We start from the raw sequence: 19,754 nt of genomic DNA, 5'->3' as shown, positions 1-19,754 counted from the left end.
CAATTCATAAATTCGCTTCACTAATATCAATTTTGCACCTCACTGTTGTTTCTGTAACTTTCTGCATCCACAGTGACCTTTCATTTAAATGCTGATAGTACCGTCTTTTTGAAGATATTTTAAATAGCAAGTAAAGTCAGCGCATGTAGCGTCAACAATGCACATAAATCATTTGAAATGATGACAATACCAAAGCTATAGCCAAGTTTGCTCAAGTGCAGGCAATGGTATCAATGTGATGAGAGCCACCTAGCTGACAGCTATTGTAAGACACATCCTGATTTCAGAGATGTTAAAATGTGAAAAAACATGTATATCTTAGAAGTCAATGAAATATGGTAACAAAATAGGCTGCTTCTGGGGTAGGAACTGGATGGCTAGAGAATAAATGGGAGGGAGATATTTCATTGTATCTTCTATTTTGTAATCCCAGGACCCAAACCCCAAATCTCTGAATCACTTGTGTACTACTCAGTGATAGTAGACACTGTTTTTAATGTAATTTAAGATTGACTTGGCTTGGTGGTGGCTTATATCTGTAATCCCAGCACTTTGGGAAGCCAAGGCGGGTAGATCACCTGAGGTCAGGAGTTCAAGACCACCTTGGCCAACATGGTGAAACCCTATCTCTATTAAAAATACAAAAATTAGCCAGGCATGGTGGCGGGCACCTGTAATCCTAGCTATTCGGGAGGCTGAGGCAGGAGAATTGCTTGAACCCAGGAGGTGGAGGTTGCAGTGAGCTGAGAACGTGTCATCATATTACAGCCTGGGTGACAAGAGCGAGACTCTGTCTCAAATTAAAAAAAAAAAAATTGCCTTGGCTTGGCTGGGTGCAGTGGCTCATGTCTGTAGTCCCAGCACTTTGGAGGCCAAGGCAGGAGGATCACTTGACCCCAGAAGTTCGAGGAAACATGGCAAAACCCCATCTCTACAAAAAATTTAAAAGCTAGCCAGGCATGGTGGTGCTTGCCAGTGGTTCCAGCTACTCAGGAGGCTGAGGACGGGAGATGGCTGGAGCCTGGGAGGTCTAGGCTTCAGTGAGCTATGATCACACCACTGCATTCCAGCCTGGGCAACAGAGCAAGACCCTGTCTCAAAAAAAAAAAAAAAAAAAAAAAAAGACTGACTTGCCTTTTTGGAAGGCTCTATGTTTCAAGGTTATAGTAAAAAACAAAAGAAAACAAAAATCTCTAAAACTTCGGAGCCTTTTCCACAAATACTATTAAATGACTTATGCTCCTCATTTGTAACTGTTTTTTTTTTTTCTTATTTGGGTGTGAAGGGATGGGTGGAGATGATGGGAAGGCTTACATTTATCCCTGTTGAATAAGAGGCTGTTGGAGTCAGCCCACAGGTCTAAAACTTTGATTTTCAAATTCTAGTGTGCATCAGAGCCACCTGGAGGGCTTACTAAAACACAGATTTCTGCTGGGCGCGGTGGCTCATGCCTTAATCCCAGTATTTTGGGAGGCTGAGGTGGGTGGATCACTTGAGGTCAGGAGTTCGAGACCAGCGTGGTCAACATGTCGAAACCCCGTCTCTACTAAAAATACAAAAATTAACCGGGCATGGTGGCGGGCATCTGTAGCCCCAGCTACTCAAGAGACTGAGGCAAGAGAATTGCTTGAACTGGGGTGCAGAGGTTGCAGTGAGCCAAGATCACGCCACTGCACTCCAGCCTGGGCAATGGAGTGAGACTCTGTCTCAAAAAAAAAAAAAAAAAAAAAAAAAGAAAGAAAGAAAGAAAAAAAAGAGATTTCTGGGTCCCACTCCTGGAGTTTCTGATTTCAATAAGTCTGAGGTGGAGCCTAAGAATTTGCATGTCTAACAAGTTCCCAGGTGACGCTGATAGTGCTAGTCTGAGGACTACACTTCGGTCAGTTGCTATAGCCAGCCTGTGGAAATTCCTTTGGATCATGACGCCATCCTTAAGATATTAGCTGTCCCTCCCAGCCTATTTTCTGTACCTTCATCTAAATCATTGACAAAAGGTTGAACAAGGAGAGACTGAGGACCCAGCTTTGCAGCAAGAAGCTTCAGACTGCCAAGGATCTACTCATCAGTTCTTGTAGGATATGATGGGTTTCCATCAGCGAGAAACCAATAGTCATACTCCTCAGCCTACAAGCTCCATCCTGTTCGTGGAAACAGCCCAAGGAACTTTATGAAAACCTTGCTGACATCTAGGCAGGCACAGGGTTTATGTATTCCAGTCCACAGTTTTGAGGGTTGTTGCCATGCCCTGTTGAAGGCTGTGTGACCGTTGGCAATTGCCTAGTTTTCTTTCTCCATCTCATTTGGGGTGAGAGAGGCAGGAGCCAGCTCAGATGCATGAGTTTAAATTAGTCACACTCCTCAGCATCACTGGTCACCGAAAGATTCTCTCTTGTTTTATTTAGTTGATTATACCCCGTATTAATCAGAGTAGGCTAGGATTGAGAGGTGACAGCATGATGGCAGCCCTCACAGCCCTCGCTCGCTCTTGGTGCCTCCTCGGCCTCGGCGCCCACTCTGGCCGCGCTTGAGGAGCCCTTCAGCCCGCCACTGCGCTGTGGGAGCCCCTTTCTGGGCTGGCCAAGGCCGCAGCCGGCTCCCTCAGCTTGCAGGGAGGTGTGGAGGGAGAGGCGCGGGCGAGAACCAGGGCTGCCCGCGGTGCTTGCAGGCCAGCGCGAGTTCCGGGTGGGCATGGGCTCGGCGGGCCCCACACTCGTAGCGGCCGGCCCCGCCGGCCCCGGGCAGTGAGGGGCTTAGCACCTGGGCCAGCAGCTGCTGTGATCAATTTCTCGCCGGGCCTTAGCTGCCTTCCCGTGGGGTAGGGCTCGGGACCTGCAGCCCGCCATGCCTGAGCCTCCCCGGATCCGCTGAGGGCTCCTGCACGGCCGGAGCCTCCCCTATGAGCGCCACCCCTGCTCCACGGGTGCCCAGTCCCATCGACCCCCCAAGGGCTGAAGAGGGCGGGGGCACGGCGTGGGACTGGCAGGCAGCTCCACCTGCGGCCCCGGTGCGGGATCCACTGGGTGAAGCCAGCTGAGCTCCTGAGTCTGGTGGGGACTTGGAGAACCTTTATGTCTAGCTAAAGGATTGTAAATACACCAATCGGCACTCTGTATCTAGCTCAAGGTTTGTAAACACACCAATCAGCACCCTGTGTCTAGCTCAGGGTTTGTGAATGCACCAATGGACACTCTGTATCTAGCTACTCTGGTGGGGACTTGGAGAACCTTTGTGTCCACACTCTGTATCTAGCTAATCTAGTGGGGAGGTGGAAAACTTTTGTGTCTAGCTCAGGGATTGTAAACGCACCAATCAGCACCCTGTCAAAACGGACCAATCAGCTCTCTGTAAAATGGACCAATCCACTCTCTGTAAAATGGACCAATCAGCAGGATGTGGGTGGGGCCAGATAAGAGAATAAAAGCAGGCTGCCCGAGGCAGTAGTGGCAAACCGGCTGGAGTTCCGTTTTGCGATGTGGTTTCGTTCTTCTTTCGCTCTTTGTAATAAATCTTGCTACTGCTCACTGTTTGGGTCTACACTGCCTTTATGAGCTGTGACACTCCCCAGGAAGGCCTGCAGCTTCACTCCTGAAACCAGCGGGACCACGAACCCATCAGAAGGAAGAAACTCCAAACACATCCCAATATCAGAAGGAACAAACTCCAGACACGCCGCTTTTAAGAACTGTAACACTCACCGCGAGGGTCTGCAGCTTCATTGTTGAAGTCCGTGAGACTAAGAATCCTCCAATTCCGGGCACAGGATTATGCTGCAGTAACAAACAACCCAAGTCCCAGGAGCTTAAAACAAGAGTTTATTTTTCACCAAAATTATCTATTTAATAATGCAGGTTGGCAAGATGGAGACTAGGGGAGGGTTCAGCTAGTTGTATTTTTTCAGGGATCCAGGGTGATGGAAGTTTCTTCTCAACTTTTGTCTTCAGGATCATCTGTGGTAGTGGATCAGAGCATTCAATGATCTTCCACCACAAGTTAAATGCTCTGGTCTAAGCTAGCACACATGACTTCCACCCACAACTCTTCAGGTAGCACTGATTCCATGTCCTTGCCCAACTACAGGGTGGAGGAGGCAGAGAAGTACAATCCACCCAGGAGCTTGGGAGGAAAGGAGAATAGCCTCTGAATCATAGAAGACTCCATGGCAGCTGCTTTTGTCTCCCTTTGTCACTGCCACGCCTCCTCTTCCTCCATAAATAGACATTCCAGTGCTTTTGGTGTGTATCCTCTTTATTTGCATGTGTTCTTGCAAAATGTGTAGCGTTGTATTATGGACATGTGCTTGTGATGTATGTAGATCTATTGCGCTGCAAGGCTTTTAGTCTATTTTTCTCTTTTTTTTTTAATTTAACACTTTTTAATATCCATCCATTTTGCTAAATGTGAATCTAGTCTTATAACTGCTGCGCATATCACATTTTACTTATTTACTCTCTCAGTGATGGGTATCTAGATCACATCTTGCTGTCATAATACCACTGTGAACTTTTTTTTTTTTTTTTTTGCCTGATGAGAAGGCATTTTTATATATTGGGGCTAACCTTCTGTCTTTTACATTCCATGTGTATTTTTATCAGTCTGTGATATGTATGTTAACTTTCTTCATGTCTCCCATGGAATCAAAATCCTTAATTTTGGCCAGGCATGGTGGCTCATGCCTGTAATCCCAGCACTTTGGGAGGCCAAGGTGGGCAGATCCCTTGAGGTAAGACAGGCAGATCACTTGAAGTCAGGAGTTCAAGACCAGCCTGGCCAACATGGTGAAATCTCACCTCTACTAAAAATACAAAAATTAGCCAGGTGTGGTGGTGCACGCCTGTAATCCCAGCTACTTGGGAGGCTGAGGCATGGGAATCACTTGAACCTGGAAGGTGGAGGTTGCAGTGAGCCGAGGTCGCGCCACTACACTCCAGCCTGGGCAACAGAGCAAGACTGTCTCAAAAAAAAAAAAAAATCCTTAATTTTGTATTATCAAATCAGTGAAATTGTTGCCTATAGATATACTTTCAGAGTTTTAAAAAATTCTTCTGTATCCCTCTGTTGTCCTATATTATAATTCATATAATTTATTATTTTCCATTTTCAAATTTAGATATAGAATCCATTGGATTTCCAGCTTCATATATTGTATTAGGGAGATATGCAATTGTATTTTTCTTTATATGAGTAATCAGTCTTCCCAATGCAACTTATTAAATATTCTGTCCTTTCATAATTGGCATGTGGTGATTACTTTTTCTGTATCTATGGTGTCTGCAGCTGTCTCATTTATTTATTTGTATATTTTCTTTTTCTATATTAACTAGTCCTACCATAAGTCTATGTACTGATACATATTTTCAAAGAACAAACTTTTGGTTTTATGAATTTTCTTTGTTTTCTATTTCATTAAATTTTTAATTTTTAAATTCCTTCTTATTTCTTTATGCCTGCTTTATTACTCTTTCTCCAACTTCTTGAGCTAAATATTTACCCATTTATTTAAATCTATTTTGTTCTCTGGTAAATGTAAGGAAAGCTATATAATATTTAACTCTCTAAGTAAGTATTGCTTTAAGCATGCCACTCAGGATTTGACTTATATTAATCATCATTCAACTCTCAGAATTACATAATTTCCCCTATGGTTTTTTAACCCAAGAATTATAAAATAATGTTTTGTTTCCAGATATATGAGATTTTTGGTTATCATTTTGTCATTGACGTATATTTTTTAGTCAGATAACGTAATCTGTGAGATGTATTTTATTTAAGCTGCCTTCATGGTATTGTATATGGAAAATTTGTTGTAAGCATTCCGTGTGCTTAAAAAAATGTAGGCTAGATGCAGTGGCTCACATTTCTAATCTTAGTACTTTGAGAGGCTGGGGTGGGAGGATCCCTGAGCCCAGGAGTTCAAGACACACCTGGTCATCATAGCAAGACCCCATCTCTATGCAAAAAAAAAAGTTTTACTAGTTGGGGGTGGTGGCGTTTGCCTGTGGTCCCAGCTACTTGGGAGGCTGAGGTGTGAGGATTGCTTGAACCCCGGAGGTCAAGGCTGCAGTTAGTAGTGATCGTGTCACTGCACTCCAGCCTGGGTCACAGAGTGAGGACACACAAAAAATGTATATCCTCTGAATTGCTTGTATTAGTCTGTTTTCCTACTGCTATAAAGAACTGCCCAAGACTGGGTAATTTATAAAGGAAAGAGGTTTAATTGACTCACAGTTCAGCATGACTGCGGAGGCCTCAGGAAACTTACAATCATGACGGAAGGCAAAGAGGAGGCAAGACACCTTCTATACGAGGCAGCAGGAAGGAGAAGTGCTAAGTGAAGGGGGACGAGCTCCTTATAAAGCCATCAGATCTCATGAGAACTCACTCACTATTACGAGAACAGCATGGGGGAAACCGCCCCCATGATTCAATTACTTCCACCTGCTCTCTCCCTTGACACATGGGGATTACGGGGATTATAACTCAAGAGGAGATTTAGGTGGGGACACAAAACCTAACCATATCATTGCTTAAGCATACTAATTTTATTTTTCAGATCCTCTAGAGCTCTGCCTTTTTGTTATTATTGTTGCTATTACTTGATCTACCAGTTTTTGAGAAGAGTGAATTAAAATCCTCACTGCAGGCCAGCCACGGTGGCTCACGCCTGTAATCCCAGCACTTTGGGAGGCCGAGACCGGCGGATCACCTGAAGTCGGGGGTTTGAGACCAGCCTGGCCAACATGGTGAAAACGCAAATCTACAAAAATATAAAAATTAGCCGGGCATGATGGTGGGTGCCTGTAATCCCAGCTACTTGGGAGGCTGAGGCATGAGTATTGCTTCAACCCAGGAGGTGGAGGTTGCAGTGAGCCAAGATCATGTCATTGCACTCCAGCCTGGGCAACAGAGTGAGACTCCCTCTCCAAAAATAAAAATAAAAAGAATAAAATAATAAAATAAAATCCTCAATGCAATTGATTTACCTATTTCTCCCCAGTTGGTCAGTACTGCTTTATATATTTAGGTGGTATTGTTAGCCAAATATATAGTCCTTTATATGTTTACATGATATTATTGGGTAAAATATATATATATTCTTTTTATTTTTTATTTTTATTTTTGAGACAGAGTGAAGTCCAGACTAGAGTGTAGTGGTATGATCTCAGCTCACTGCAACCTCCATTTCCCGGGTTCAAGTGATTGTTGTGCTTCAGCCTCCTGAATACCTGGGATTACAGGCATGTGCCACCATGTCCGGCTAATTTTTGCATTTTTAGTAGAGAAGGGGTTTCGCCATGTTGGCCAGGCTGGTCTTGAACTTCTGACCTCAAGTGATCTGCCTGCCTCAGCCTCCCAAAGTGCTGAGATTACAGTTGTGAGCCAATGAGCCCAGCTAATATATATCTATTCTTTATATGCCAGTATATAATGCTCCTCTTGCCCCTTATGATATGTATATTTTGGTCTTAAATTCTGTTTTGTCAGTGATTCTGCTTGCTATCCCAGGTTTCTTTTGGTTCATATTTGCTTGGTATTTTCCCTGTCTCTGGATGATTTCTATGTAGACATTTCCTTGTGTATTCTTCAGCTTCATTAAAATGTTTCTAGATGTGAATTTTTAAAATTACGCTTTATTTATTATCAAAAATAGTAATTGGCCGGGCAAGGTGGCTCATGCCTGTAATCCCAGCACTTTGGGAGGCTGAGGCGGGTGGATCACAAGGTCAGGAGATCGAGACCATCCTGGCTAATATGGTGAAACCCTGTCTCTACTAAAAATACAAAAAATTAGCCAGGCATGTTGGCAGGTGCCTATAGTCCCAGCTACTTGGGAGGGTGAGGCAGGAGAATGGCATGAACCTGGGAGGCGGAGCTTGCGGTGAGCCGAGATAGCGCCACTGCAGTCCAGCCTGGATGAAAGAGCAAGACTCCGTCTCAAAAAAAAAAATTAATCTTTAAAATTATTTTTAGTCAGTTTTGGAAAATACATAGCTGTTATCATTTTAAATATTTCCTGTTGTGGCAGACACACTCTAAGGTGCCCCGTCTCTCCATCGATCTCTACCTCCTGGTGTTCATGCCTTTGTGTAATCCCCTCCCCTTGTGGGTGGGCAGAACCTGTGACCTGCTTCTAAGCAATAGGATATGGTGATGGTGATGGGCTGTCACTTTTGTGAGTGTTACATTATATAAGAGTCTGTCTTTTTTGACTCACTCCAGAGGCTCTCCTTGCTTGCTAGATGAAGTAAACAGCCAAGTTGGGAAAGCTCATGTGGCAAGGAACTGTGGGTGGCTTTGAGAAACTGTGGATGGCATCCAAGAGCTGCCAGCAAGAAGCTGGGGCCTTCTTGCCCACAACTGCAAGGGAATAATTTCTGACCACAATCTCAGCAAACTTTGAAGCAGACTCTTCCCCCATTGAGACTCCAGATGAGAATGCAGCCCAGCCAACACCTTGATTGCTGTCTGCAAAACCTTAAGCAGAGGATCCAGTTAAGCCATGTGCAAGCTCCTGGCCAACATAAACTGTAAAACAATAAATGTGTGTTATCTGAAGCCACCAATTTAAAAAACGAAAACAGTCAACCCCCTGTATCTGCAGGTTCCATGTCATTGGATTCAACCAGCTGCAAATTAAAAGTATTTGGAAAAAATACAAATAAAAAACCAATACAGTATGACAACTATTTACATTGTATTAGGTATTATAAGTAACCTAGAGAGGATTTCAAGTTTATGGGAACATGTGCACAGGTTACATGCAAATATTATGCCATTTTATATAAGGGACTTTTGTGTCTGTGAATTTTGCTATCTTTGGGGGATCCTGGAACCAATCCCCCAAGGTTATCAAGAGAATAACCATACATCTCCTTTTATCCTTTTTATGCTTTCCTTCTGAGACTCTGATTAGATAGATATTTTAGACCTTCTCATTCTGTCTTCCATATCTCTTAACTTTTGTGTCTTCCATCTCCTTGTCTCTCTGGGTAACTCCTTTATGTATAACTTCCAGTTAACTAATTCTTTCTTTGTTTGAGACAGGGTCTTGCTCTGTCACCCAGGCTAGAGTGTAGTGTCACGGTCTCACTGGCTCACTTCAACCTCTGCCTCCGAGGCTCAGGTGATCCTCCTGCCTCAGCCTCCCAAGTGGCTGGGACCACAGGCATGTGCCACCATACCTGGGTAATTTTTTGTATTTTTGTAGAGATGGGGGTCATACTATGTTGTTCAGGCTGGTCTCGAACTCCTGGGCTCAAGTGATCCTCCAGCCTTGGCCTCCCAAAGTGCTGGGATTACAGGCATGAACCACTGTGTCCGGCCACTGCTGGTCATTTTTGACAGTATCTTGTTGTTTACTTAGTTTTGTGATTCCTCAACATTTCGTACATAGTTATCTTAAGTCTGTAACTGACAGTTCAAATATCTAAAGTCCCTGGAGGTCAAACTCTATGGTTAATTGTCTCCAGACTTTCATTCATAGCGGTTGGTTTCCTTATGTTTTGATCACCTTTGATTGTGAGCTCATTTTAGCTGACCTGTCTGTGGAAAATGTGGAGACCTAAATTGAGAAATCCTTTCTCAGAGCAGAGAGGATTTGCACTTGAACCCATAGGAGCTATTGATCTGGATTTATTCCAACCCCCAATCCAGGCTCTTATGCTTAATCTGGGAAACTCAGTTACATTCTCTCTCACCTTGCCACAGGTCCAAGGCCTAGGTTTCAAGTAAATGCCACCCTTGATGGAGATGAATACTTTGGTTTTGTCTCAAAACATTTTACTTTTAAATTTTTTGGGGGGAGGCTTGGTGTTATCCCTTATGGCCTGTAAGTTTAGGAAATCAAAAAAGCCATATTTTACACGGAATTCAGTTGGTTTGAAGAATATATTCTCCCTATTTCCTGATAATCTAGTCCACCACTGCTAAAATCTTTTGGTTTCTTTTTAAATATGCCTATTGTAGACAATTTATTGCTGGATTTTTTTACCTGCTCTGAGAGTCTCTAACTTTTAGTTGATGAATTTATTGCATTTACAATGGTTGTAATTGCTGTTAGAAAAGTACAAATTTCTATTCCTATCTTGATTTTTTATTTATTGCCTTTTCTTTTTATCACCTCCTTTTCACTGGATAGATCAAATTTTCCTCTGTTGTCTTAAAAGCTACACATTCTATTTTATGGTTAAAAGCTACACATTCTATTCTGTGGTTACGGTTAAAAGCTATACATATCTATCTTATGGTTAAGAGCTTTGTTTATTTGCTTCTACTGAAATCTTAAATTTATCACTCTCTTATCTTCCCCTTAAAAGACAAGTAAAATCTATATTCCTATTTACCCCATCTATTTTTATTTTTAACTATTTTAATATGTAATATTTCCACTTGATTCTTCTTATGACTTCATTCCTGATATACTCGTTAATTAATATAACATCACTGCAGAACTTGGCATCTTAAAACAACAAACATTTATTTATGTATTTATTTATTTATTTTTTCTGAGACAGCGTCTCTCTCTGTTGCCCAGACTGGAGTGCAGTGGTGTGATTTCGGCTCTCTGCAACCTCTGCCTCAGCCTCCCTAATAGCTGGGATTACAGGCACTCGCCACCACGCTTGGCTAATTTTTTTTATTTTTGGTAGAGACGGGGTTTCACCAGGTTGCCCAGGCTGGTTTCAACTCCTGACCTCAGGTGATCTGCCCACCTCAGCCTCCCAAAGTGCTAGGACTATAGGCGTGAGCCACACCACCCAGCCATTAAAACAACAAACGTTTATTATTTCAGTTTCCATGGGTCAGAAATTTAGGAGTGGCTTAGTTAGGTGGCTCTGGCTCATAATCTCTCATGAGTTTGCGGCCAAGGCTGCTGTTAAGTGAAGACTTGCCTGGGGCTGGAGGACTGGTTCCCAAGGTTGCTCACTCACAAGGCTATAGGCAGGAGGCCTCAGGTCCTTGCTGACTCTTTGTAGGAGGGATCAGTTCCACAACACATGGGCCTCTCAGTAGCGTTTCTTGAGAACCCCCCTATATAGCAGCTGGCTTTTTCCAGAACCAACAACCCAACACGGTGAAAGCAAGAAGAAGCCATGGTGTATTTTATGACTGTCATTTCTGCCATAGTCCATTCGTTAGAAGTGAATCATTAGTCCAGCTCATACTCAAGGAGGAGGGAATTAATCACTACTTGAAGAGAGGATTATGAAATAATTTAGGCACATAGTTTAAAACGACCCCATCTGTTAATATTACTAATACTCTTAACTCTTTGAAGATTCCTATTTTAAATCCTTATGAATTTTGCTTCCCATACTATATTTTGTCCCATTTTCTCCACGTCTGTGTATGTACTAGGGTATGTACTCCTCAGCTATCTGTAGGTTTCCTTGGAAATATCCAATGCTCTATTTCTTGGGGACATTCATGTCCTCTCAGGTGCCCCGATGAGTTCATGGAGAATGACATGGGCCAGGCACGGTGGCTTATGCCTGTAATCCCAGCACTTTGGGAGGCCGAGGTGGGTGGATCACCTGAGGTCAGGAGTTCGAGACCAGCCTGGCCAACATGGCAAAACCCCGTCTCTACTAAAAATACAAAAATTAGCCGGGCATGGTGGCAGGCGCCTGTAATCCCAGCTACTCGGGAGGCTGAGGCAGGAGAATCACTTGAACCCGGGAGGCGGAGATTGCAGTGAGCCCAGATTGCGCCACTGCACTCCAGCCTGGGCAACAAAAGCGAAACTCCATTTCAAAAAAAAAAAAAGAAAAGAAAGAAAGAGAATGGCATGGATGGAGCCAAGCATACAGCCCCTGGCACCATGCAGTCACAACTGATTCCCCATCCTCCCCTTCCTGTTTGTCACTGGGCCACCAAGCAATGCCTCTGGTCAGGCATTCATGCTTGAACTCTTAGGAGGAAGCTGTGCTGTGAGGAGGACGCTTTCCCACGGGACTTCACCAGCCCTGGGGGTGAGACAGAGAAGGGGGGAAAAGTGAATGTTTGAGGGAATCTGGTCAACCCATACCTGTTCTCACCAGCTTCTCACTCCAGCTGTGCTACTAGGGTGCCCTGATATTACCCCACCATCACTGGAACCTGAGCTATTGCTCCTGACTTCTATCACAAAGAGGCAGTGGGGCAGCAATGACTGTCCCAATCAATGTGGGGAAGAAGTAAGAGAAGGCCCTGAGAGAGCTCTTCCAACCCTTCCTCTCACTGGTGGATCAGGTGGATGCCCACTGCCATGGACACTTTAGTTCAAAGCAGCTCTTGCTCTTCCTGGGAGCTCTGACAGTTTCTAGGTTTGTTGCTCAGGTCCAAGCTTCTCTGCTTCTGTAGTTTCTCTGGGGTTGACTTTGTGAACAGGAACCTGCAGCCCACCCTAGATTGCTATCTTCTGAGGAATCAGAAGTGCTCCCACTCCTGTTTCTTTTCTCTGAGTCTCTATAAAATAATGACAGGGTGTGGATTAGATCAGGGCCACACACTCAAATGCCTGCTGGAGCTGGCTAGATTAAAATAATAAATAGGCTGGGTGCAGTGGCTCATGCCTGCAATCACAGCACTTTGGGAGACCGAGGAGGGTGGATCACTTGAGGTCAGGAGTTTGGGACGAGCCTGGCCAACATGGTGAAACCCTGTCTCTACTAAAAATAACAAAATTAGCTGGGCATGGGGACGGGCGCCTATAATCCCAGCTACTCGGGAGGCTGAGGCAGGATAATTGCTTGAACCCGAGAGGCGAAGGTTGCAGTGAGCCAAGATCGTGCCACTGCGCTCCAGCCTGGGTGACAGAGTGAGACTCCATCTCAAAATAAAATAAAATAAAGTAATGAATGAAGCTGGTCAAGGGAGAGGCACTAGGGAATGGCAGGGCCAGGGTGGACGGGAGTGTGTATGCTGCATGTACCTGCTTCATCTATTGAGGGCAGTGATACCCACTGCTGGGCAGGAAGGAAGGTCAGTGCCATCATGAAGCCAGAAAGGCTGATTTGATGGGAAATTTTATTCATTTAAATATCTGAGGGTTGAATTCAGCTGGAGTCACCAGTTTGCCATCCCTGGTTTTTTAATCCCTAAAGGTTTTTTTCAGATTTAACAAGCCAGAAGTCTTGGAGTCTGGAGTATTCCCTTGAGTAACCTGCCAGGCTAAGAACTTTCTCAAATATGGTAAAAACGCCCATTTGGCACAGCCCGTCCTTAGTAAGCCCATACTAGAGCCTTGTCTAGTTCACCAGCCTGCAATTCTTGGAAACTGCTTGTTCCTCTTTTAGAAAATTAGAACAACATTTGCCCATTTCCAGTCAGGTGGGGCCTCACCCATTCTCCAAAATTCTTCCAAGATTATAAACACTAGTGGAGCCTTGGAATTTACCACAGCAGCCCTTGTTGACTTTAGCTTTTTTATTTTTTTCTTTTTAAACCAGCCTCACCTCTTTCTATGCTTTATTTCCCCCCTATATTCTCTTTCTATGGGACTCTATCGTTTAAAAAATATTTGTCTTGGCCCAGTATGGTGGCTCATACCTGTAGTCCCAGCACATTGGGAGGCTAAGGCAGGAGGATCACTTGAGCCCAGGAGTTCGAGACCAGCCTGAGCAACATGGCAAAATCTAGTCTTTATGAAAAATACAAAAATTAGCCAGGTGTGGTGGCAGCTACTCAGGAAGCTGAGGTGGCAGCTACTAGTCCCATCCACTCAGGAAGATGAGGTGGAAGGATTCCTTGAGCCCAAGAAGTAAAGGCTGTGGTAAGCCTTGGTTGTGCCACTGCACTCCAGCCTGGGTGACAGAGCAAGACCCTGTCTCAATAAAATAAAAAATGAAAAATAATTTGTCTTTACTCTGACAGACCAGGTTTTTGGTTTGCTTGTTTGTTTGTTTTTTGAGATGGAGTTTCATTCTCATTGCCCAGGCTGGAGTGCAATGGCACAATCTTGGCTCATCGCAACCTCCAACTCCCGGGTTCAAGTGATTATCCTGCCTCAGCCTCCTGAGTAGCTGGGATTACAGGCATGCACCACCACACCCAGCTAATTTTGTATTTTTAGTAGAGATGGGGTTTCTCCATGTTGGTTAGTCTGGCCTCGAACTCCCGACCTCAGGAGATCCGCCCACCTCAGCCTCCCAAAGTGCTGGGATTACAGGAGTGAGCCACTGCGCCTGGCCTCAGACCAGGTTTTGACTCTTTCTTCTCACATACCTCTTCCCCCACTTACATCCAGTCAAATGCAGAATCCCATCATAGTTGTGCCATCTTAGGCAAATCACCTAAATTCTCTGTAGCTCAGTGTTCTCTTCTGTAAAATGGAGGAGTTGAACTGGTTGGTCACTGAGGTCCCTTGGAAGACTATCTTTGGGTTAGGGATCCCTTTGACAATTGGTTAAAAACAGTGGCCCCGGGGCCAGGTACAGTGGCTCACGCCTGTAATCCTAGCACTTTGGGAGGCCGAGGTGGGCAGATCACTTGAGGTCAGGAGTTCCATACCAGTCTGGTCAACATGGTGAAACCCCGTCTCTACTAAGAATACAAAAATTAGCCGGGCACGGTGGTGGGCGCCTGTAATCCCAGCTACCCAGGAAGCTAAGGCAGGAGAATCACTTGAACCCGGGAAGCGGAGGTTGCATTGAGCCAAGATCACGCCATTGCACTCCAGCCTGGGTAACAAGAGCGAGACTCCATATCAAAACAAACAAACAAACAAACAAAAACAAACAACCCCCCCCAAACCAAACAAAACAAAAACGGTGGCCCTTCATTTCAGAAAAGCAATCCCATGTCATGTACTGGCTGACTTTGTTTTGTCTGCTACAACCATCATCCCCTTCTTTCAGGGGACATTTCTCCCCCACGCCTACTGTTTGGCTCTGGATGGGAGACCAATGAAAGTACCCCATCTCACTCTGCCCAGAAGAGTGGGTACTTCAAGTCCTTTTCTGTTGGTTTGTTTGGTTTGTTCTTCTTTTAAACGGAACTGGGAGGGAAGGTTTCTTTTCCTTTTTGGTAGAGGACCAAGGTTATGAATCTTGAACTGCCTGGGGCCATATTTCCTGGTGTGCATAGAAAGCCCTTCTGTGTGGAAGAGAAGAAAGGCTGCAGAGAGGGGGAAGCCCAGAGTTTGGGGAAAGTGGGTGAAGTAGGAAGGGGAAGGGTGGGGGTTATGGGAAAGGGGAGAGAAATTCTTGCTGGCATTCAGTCCCGGATTCCACTGTCACTGAAGCTCAGCACATTCTTCCTATCCTTTGGCTCAGTGAATCAATAAATTCCTTTTTGTTATTGTTGTTTAAGTGAATTTTAGTTGATGAACTGACATTAGCAGCAGAATGAGTCCTGATTAGCAGAGGCACTACCTTCCCCTGCTTTGCATTGTTGACCCTGATATTTTCATACTGCCTCGCGTTTCTTGTCCTCATTCTCATTGTCCTCAGATTCTAACCTCTTTTAAGGCATCTTTAAAATATCTTACACAACTCTTACACCAGTGCTCAATTGGGTCTGAGGGAATTAAACAGAACTTTATTTTCTCACATGTCCCCATGTTATTACCCTCTCTCCCACTGGACTATACATTTTTGGATGACAAAGACACTATTTTCTAATGTTTATAAGTTCCTTTAAAATAGGCCAGGCATGGAGGCTTACACCTGTAATCCCAGCACTTTGAGAGACCGAGGTGGGCAAATCACTTCAGGTCAGGAGTTCAAGACCAGTCTGGCCAACATGGCGAAACCCCATCTCTACTAAAAATACAAAAATTAGCTAGTGTGGTGGTGAGTGCCTGTAATCCCAACTACTTGGGAGGCTGAGGTACAAGAATCGTTTGAGCCCAGGAGGCTGAGGTTGCAGTGAGCTGAGATCATGTCACTGCACTCCAGCCTGGGTGACAGAGGGAAACTCTTGTCTCAATAAATAAATAATAAATGTTCCTGAAAACTGCTGTACACATAGTAGGAACCCAAAAATGCTGGAGATTGTGATGATGGTGGTGACCGTGTCATGAAAGGAGCCCATCTCATTGAGTGCCAGTGTCACTGAGAGGCTGTGAATCAAACGATTGACAAGGTCGCAGGGCCACAGTGGATATCCTTCTGCTAGGAGTCCTGAGGTCCAGCCTAGAAGCTAAGAGTACGTGTGACCCCCCTCACAGGCCCCCTGGGAATTTCAGTTGGGCCTGGCTGACTGGCTGGGCAGCAGCTCAGGAATTTCTCCTGATGAATGGAGCACTGGGCAGTGAGACAAGATACTGACAGGAGTGGCTAAAGCCATGGTCTATTTTTAACATTAGGGCCAGAGTGCCCTGGCACGGCTAGCGGATCTCTGACCTAAGGCCCTGAGAAGCTCCTGAAATTATAGTGAGGAAGCTCTGTGCATACGCAGCACACACATGCACACATCACGGATGTTGTCAGCAGATAATACAAATAATATGCCTTATCTATTTATGTAAGTGCAATTTTTCAGAAACATTTTCTCCAGCAATAGAAATTAAAAGCACATATTAATCATGAGTATTTCAGGAGTAGAGGGTGGATGCTTGAGGGTGTGATGCCGACATTGAGGTGTTTAGACTTGCAAAAGGATCCTTTATATCCGGAAAGCAGAGTCCGGTGGGCTCTGACAAGAGAAATGTCGTCAGCCAAACGCAGGATCCCTGGCAGAGCAGAGGTGGGTCAGTGTTTCCCAGCCTTGACTGCACACTGTGATCCCCAGGGGACGCCCGGATTGCATCAGGCCAATTAAGTCAGAATCTCTCGCAGGGGGAGGCGCGGATAGAGTCCGGTACCCAGGCATCGGTGTTTCGCAGGTCCCCGGGTGATTCCCACGCTCAGCCAAGGTTGAGAACCGCAATTTAGGTGGTTGGGGTTGGGGGCGAGAAAGCCGTGAGTCCAGTTAACCACGAGAGGGCGCGGTGGAGCAGGAAACTCAAGGTTGGGCGGAGGCCGCACATTTTTCTCTCCAGCATCAAATACCAGAGATGCGGATCTCTTTTACAGATAGAGACCGAGGCGCGTGGCCAACGGTGATCGCGCGGGAGCAAAACTGCACCACCCTGTCTTGTGCTTTGGCCATTTCACGGCTTCCGCTTCCAGGAAAAGCCAGGGAAGTTCCGCCTCTGTGGCTAAGCTTCAGCCGTGCAAGGCAGGGCTCAGCTTCGGTACAGTTCCAAACTGGGCGTCGTCCTGGCTGGGTTCTCCAGCCACCGAGACACACCTGTGTTCCTCCCTGCTCACTCTGGCACCTAGGACAGGTCCCTCAGGCAGTGAAGGGATTCCTTAAGGGGAGGCAAAGAGAGGAAGGCAGTAATTTCTTTTTATTTTTTAAATTGACAAATAAAAATTGTATGCATTTGTGGTATACAACATGATGTTTTGAAATATGTATACCTGGCAGAATGGCTTTGTCAAGAGAGTTAACATATGTACTACCTCACAGACTTACTTATTTGTTGTGGGAACGCTTAAAATCTACTCTCCTAGCAATTTTCAAGTATTGTGTACAATGCATTAATTATAGTCATCAGATTGTACAATAGATCCCTTGAACTAAGTCTTGCTGTCTAATTCTGTATCCTTTGACCAACACCTCCACCCTCCACCCCGACGCCAGCCCTTGGTGACCACCATTCCACTCCTCTCCTGTCTCTGTGTTCCGCTGGTTTAAATTCCTCATGTGAGTGAGATCATGCGGTATTTCTGAAAGCCGCCATTTCTGCCTACACTGAGCCTGTTTTTTCTGCAGGCAGCCACAGGAAGCACTCCTTTTGGACAGGAGCGACCTCAGTGTTTCCAGGTGAGTGGGTGTCCAGGAAGTGCCCAAGGAGTTGCCTCCAGGAGAATGAATCACTTAGTGGGAAAATAACAAAAGCACTTACTTGCCAAGACGGTGAAGACACTTTATCCAGCAACTGAAAGCGTGTCTTTTTCCACTGCTGCCCTGATGTTGTCACTGGCAAGGAGACTGACTGCAGAAGCCAAGAAAAGGATTCTTGCCCCTTAAAAAACCTTTTGGGCCACAGATGGTGGCCCGGGATGCTTCAACACTCTATGGGGGCGCCGAGATCTGCGGATCACTTGAGGTCAGGAGGCTCCCTGCACTTAGAAGGCTCAATGGAAACTTCCCCCAGTTGAAATCCTGAACCCGGTATCCCTTTTGCATCAGCAGAGCCCTCTGCCTTCTTAGTGAATGATCAGCTACTGAGCCTCAGCTGGGCCAAGAGGCATTTATTGAGTGTTCTGCATATAGTACATAAGGTCTGTGGAGTGAATGTCTGCTTCATTGAGAAAATAAAGGTTTTGGCCAGGTGCGGTGGCTCACGCCTGTAATCCCAGCACTTTGGGAGGCCAAGGTGGGCAGATCACTTGAGGTCAGGAGTTCAAGACCAGCCTGGCTAACACGGTGAAACCCCATCTCTACTAAAACTACAAAAGAAAAAAAAAATTAGCTGGGCGTGGTGATGTATGCCTGTAGTCCCAGCTACTTGGGAGGCTGAGGCAGGAGAATCCCTGAGCCTGTAACACGGAGGTTGCAGTGAGTCGAGATCACGCCTCTGTACTCCAGCCTGGACAACAGAGCAAGACTCTGTCTCAAAAAGAAAAAAAAAAAAAGGTTTAGTAATTCCTTAATTTCTTTCTCTTCTTCCTCCAAGTTTTATATGCATTTGTACTCTTTCTTTCTCTCACCTCTTCCTTCCTTTTTCACATACCATAACATTCATCATGTTAAAGTATACAATTCAATAGCTTTTAGGATACTCACAGAGTTGTGCAACAATCACTACTATCTGATTCGAGAAACTTTCCATCACCCTAAAAAGAAACTCTGTTCCCATGAGCAGTTGCTCCCCCTTTCCCTTCCACCCAGCCTCTGGAAACCACAAATCTACTTTCTGACTGTACCTATTTCTTATTCCGGACACGTCATGTAAGTGAAATCAAAGGATATGTGGCGTTTGTGACTGGGTTCTTTCACTTAGTGTAATGTTTTCAAGGCTCACCCATGTTGTAGCATTCATTAGCACTTTATTCCTTTTTATTGCTGAATAGTATTCCATTGTATGGATATACCACTTTGTTTATTACAGACATGTGATTTCCAAATGTCTTCTCCTATTAGGTGGGTTGTCTTTTCAGTTTTTTTGGTAGTATCCTTTGAAGTACAAAAGCTTTTAGTTTTGGTAAAGTTCAACTTGTCAAACTTGTCTGTTTTATCTTTTGTTACTGTTGACGGACATTTGGGTTGTTTCCACCTTTTGGCTATTATGAATAGTGCTGTAATGAACACTTGTATACAAGCTTTTGTGCAGATACATGTTTTTATTTCTCCTGGCCATACGCATAGGAGTGGAGTTGCTAGGTCATATGGTAATTTTATGCTTAATCTTTTGAGGAACCGTCACACTGTTTTACAACATGGTTTTGCCATTTTATATTCCCACCAACAATATATGAGAGTTCCAATTTCTCCACGTCCCCACTCACGCTTTTCATTGTCTGTGTTTTTGGTTTTAGCCATACTAGTGGATATGAAGTGCCGTCTCATTGTAATTTTGACATGCATTTCTCCAGTGATTGATAATGTTGAATATCTTTTTGTGTGCTTATTGGCCACTTGTATACCTTTTTGGAGACATATCTATTTAAATCCTTTGCCCATTTTAAAATTCGGTTATCTCTTTTTTCTTAAATTATAAGAGTTCTTTATGTATTCTCATATCAGACCTTTATTAGACATGCGATTTGCAAGTATTTTCTCCC

At 44.7% G+C, this 19,754-nt stretch overlaps 1 annotated feature.

Annotated features, from left to right (window-relative positions):
• Positions 2,535-3,036: an enhancer, noted in NCBI's record as "H3K4me1 hESC enhancer chr15:89574853-89575354 (GRCh37/hg19 assembly coordinates)". NCBI's record gives its function as "activates a minimal SCP1, AML or CMV promoter by ChIP-STARR-seq in naive H9 embryonic stem cells {active_cell/tissue: H9 hESC(naive)}" and the evidence as "EXISTENCE:reporter gene assay evidence [ECO:0000049][PMID:30033119]".

Source organism: Homo sapiens, chromosome 15, assembly GCF_000001405.40.
Source record: "Homo sapiens chromosome 15, GRCh38.p14 Primary Assembly".
NCBI classification, from domain to species: Eukaryota; Metazoa; Chordata; class Mammalia; order Primates; family Hominidae; genus Homo; species Homo sapiens.
This window is presented reverse-complemented; position numbering and strand designations above follow the sequence as displayed.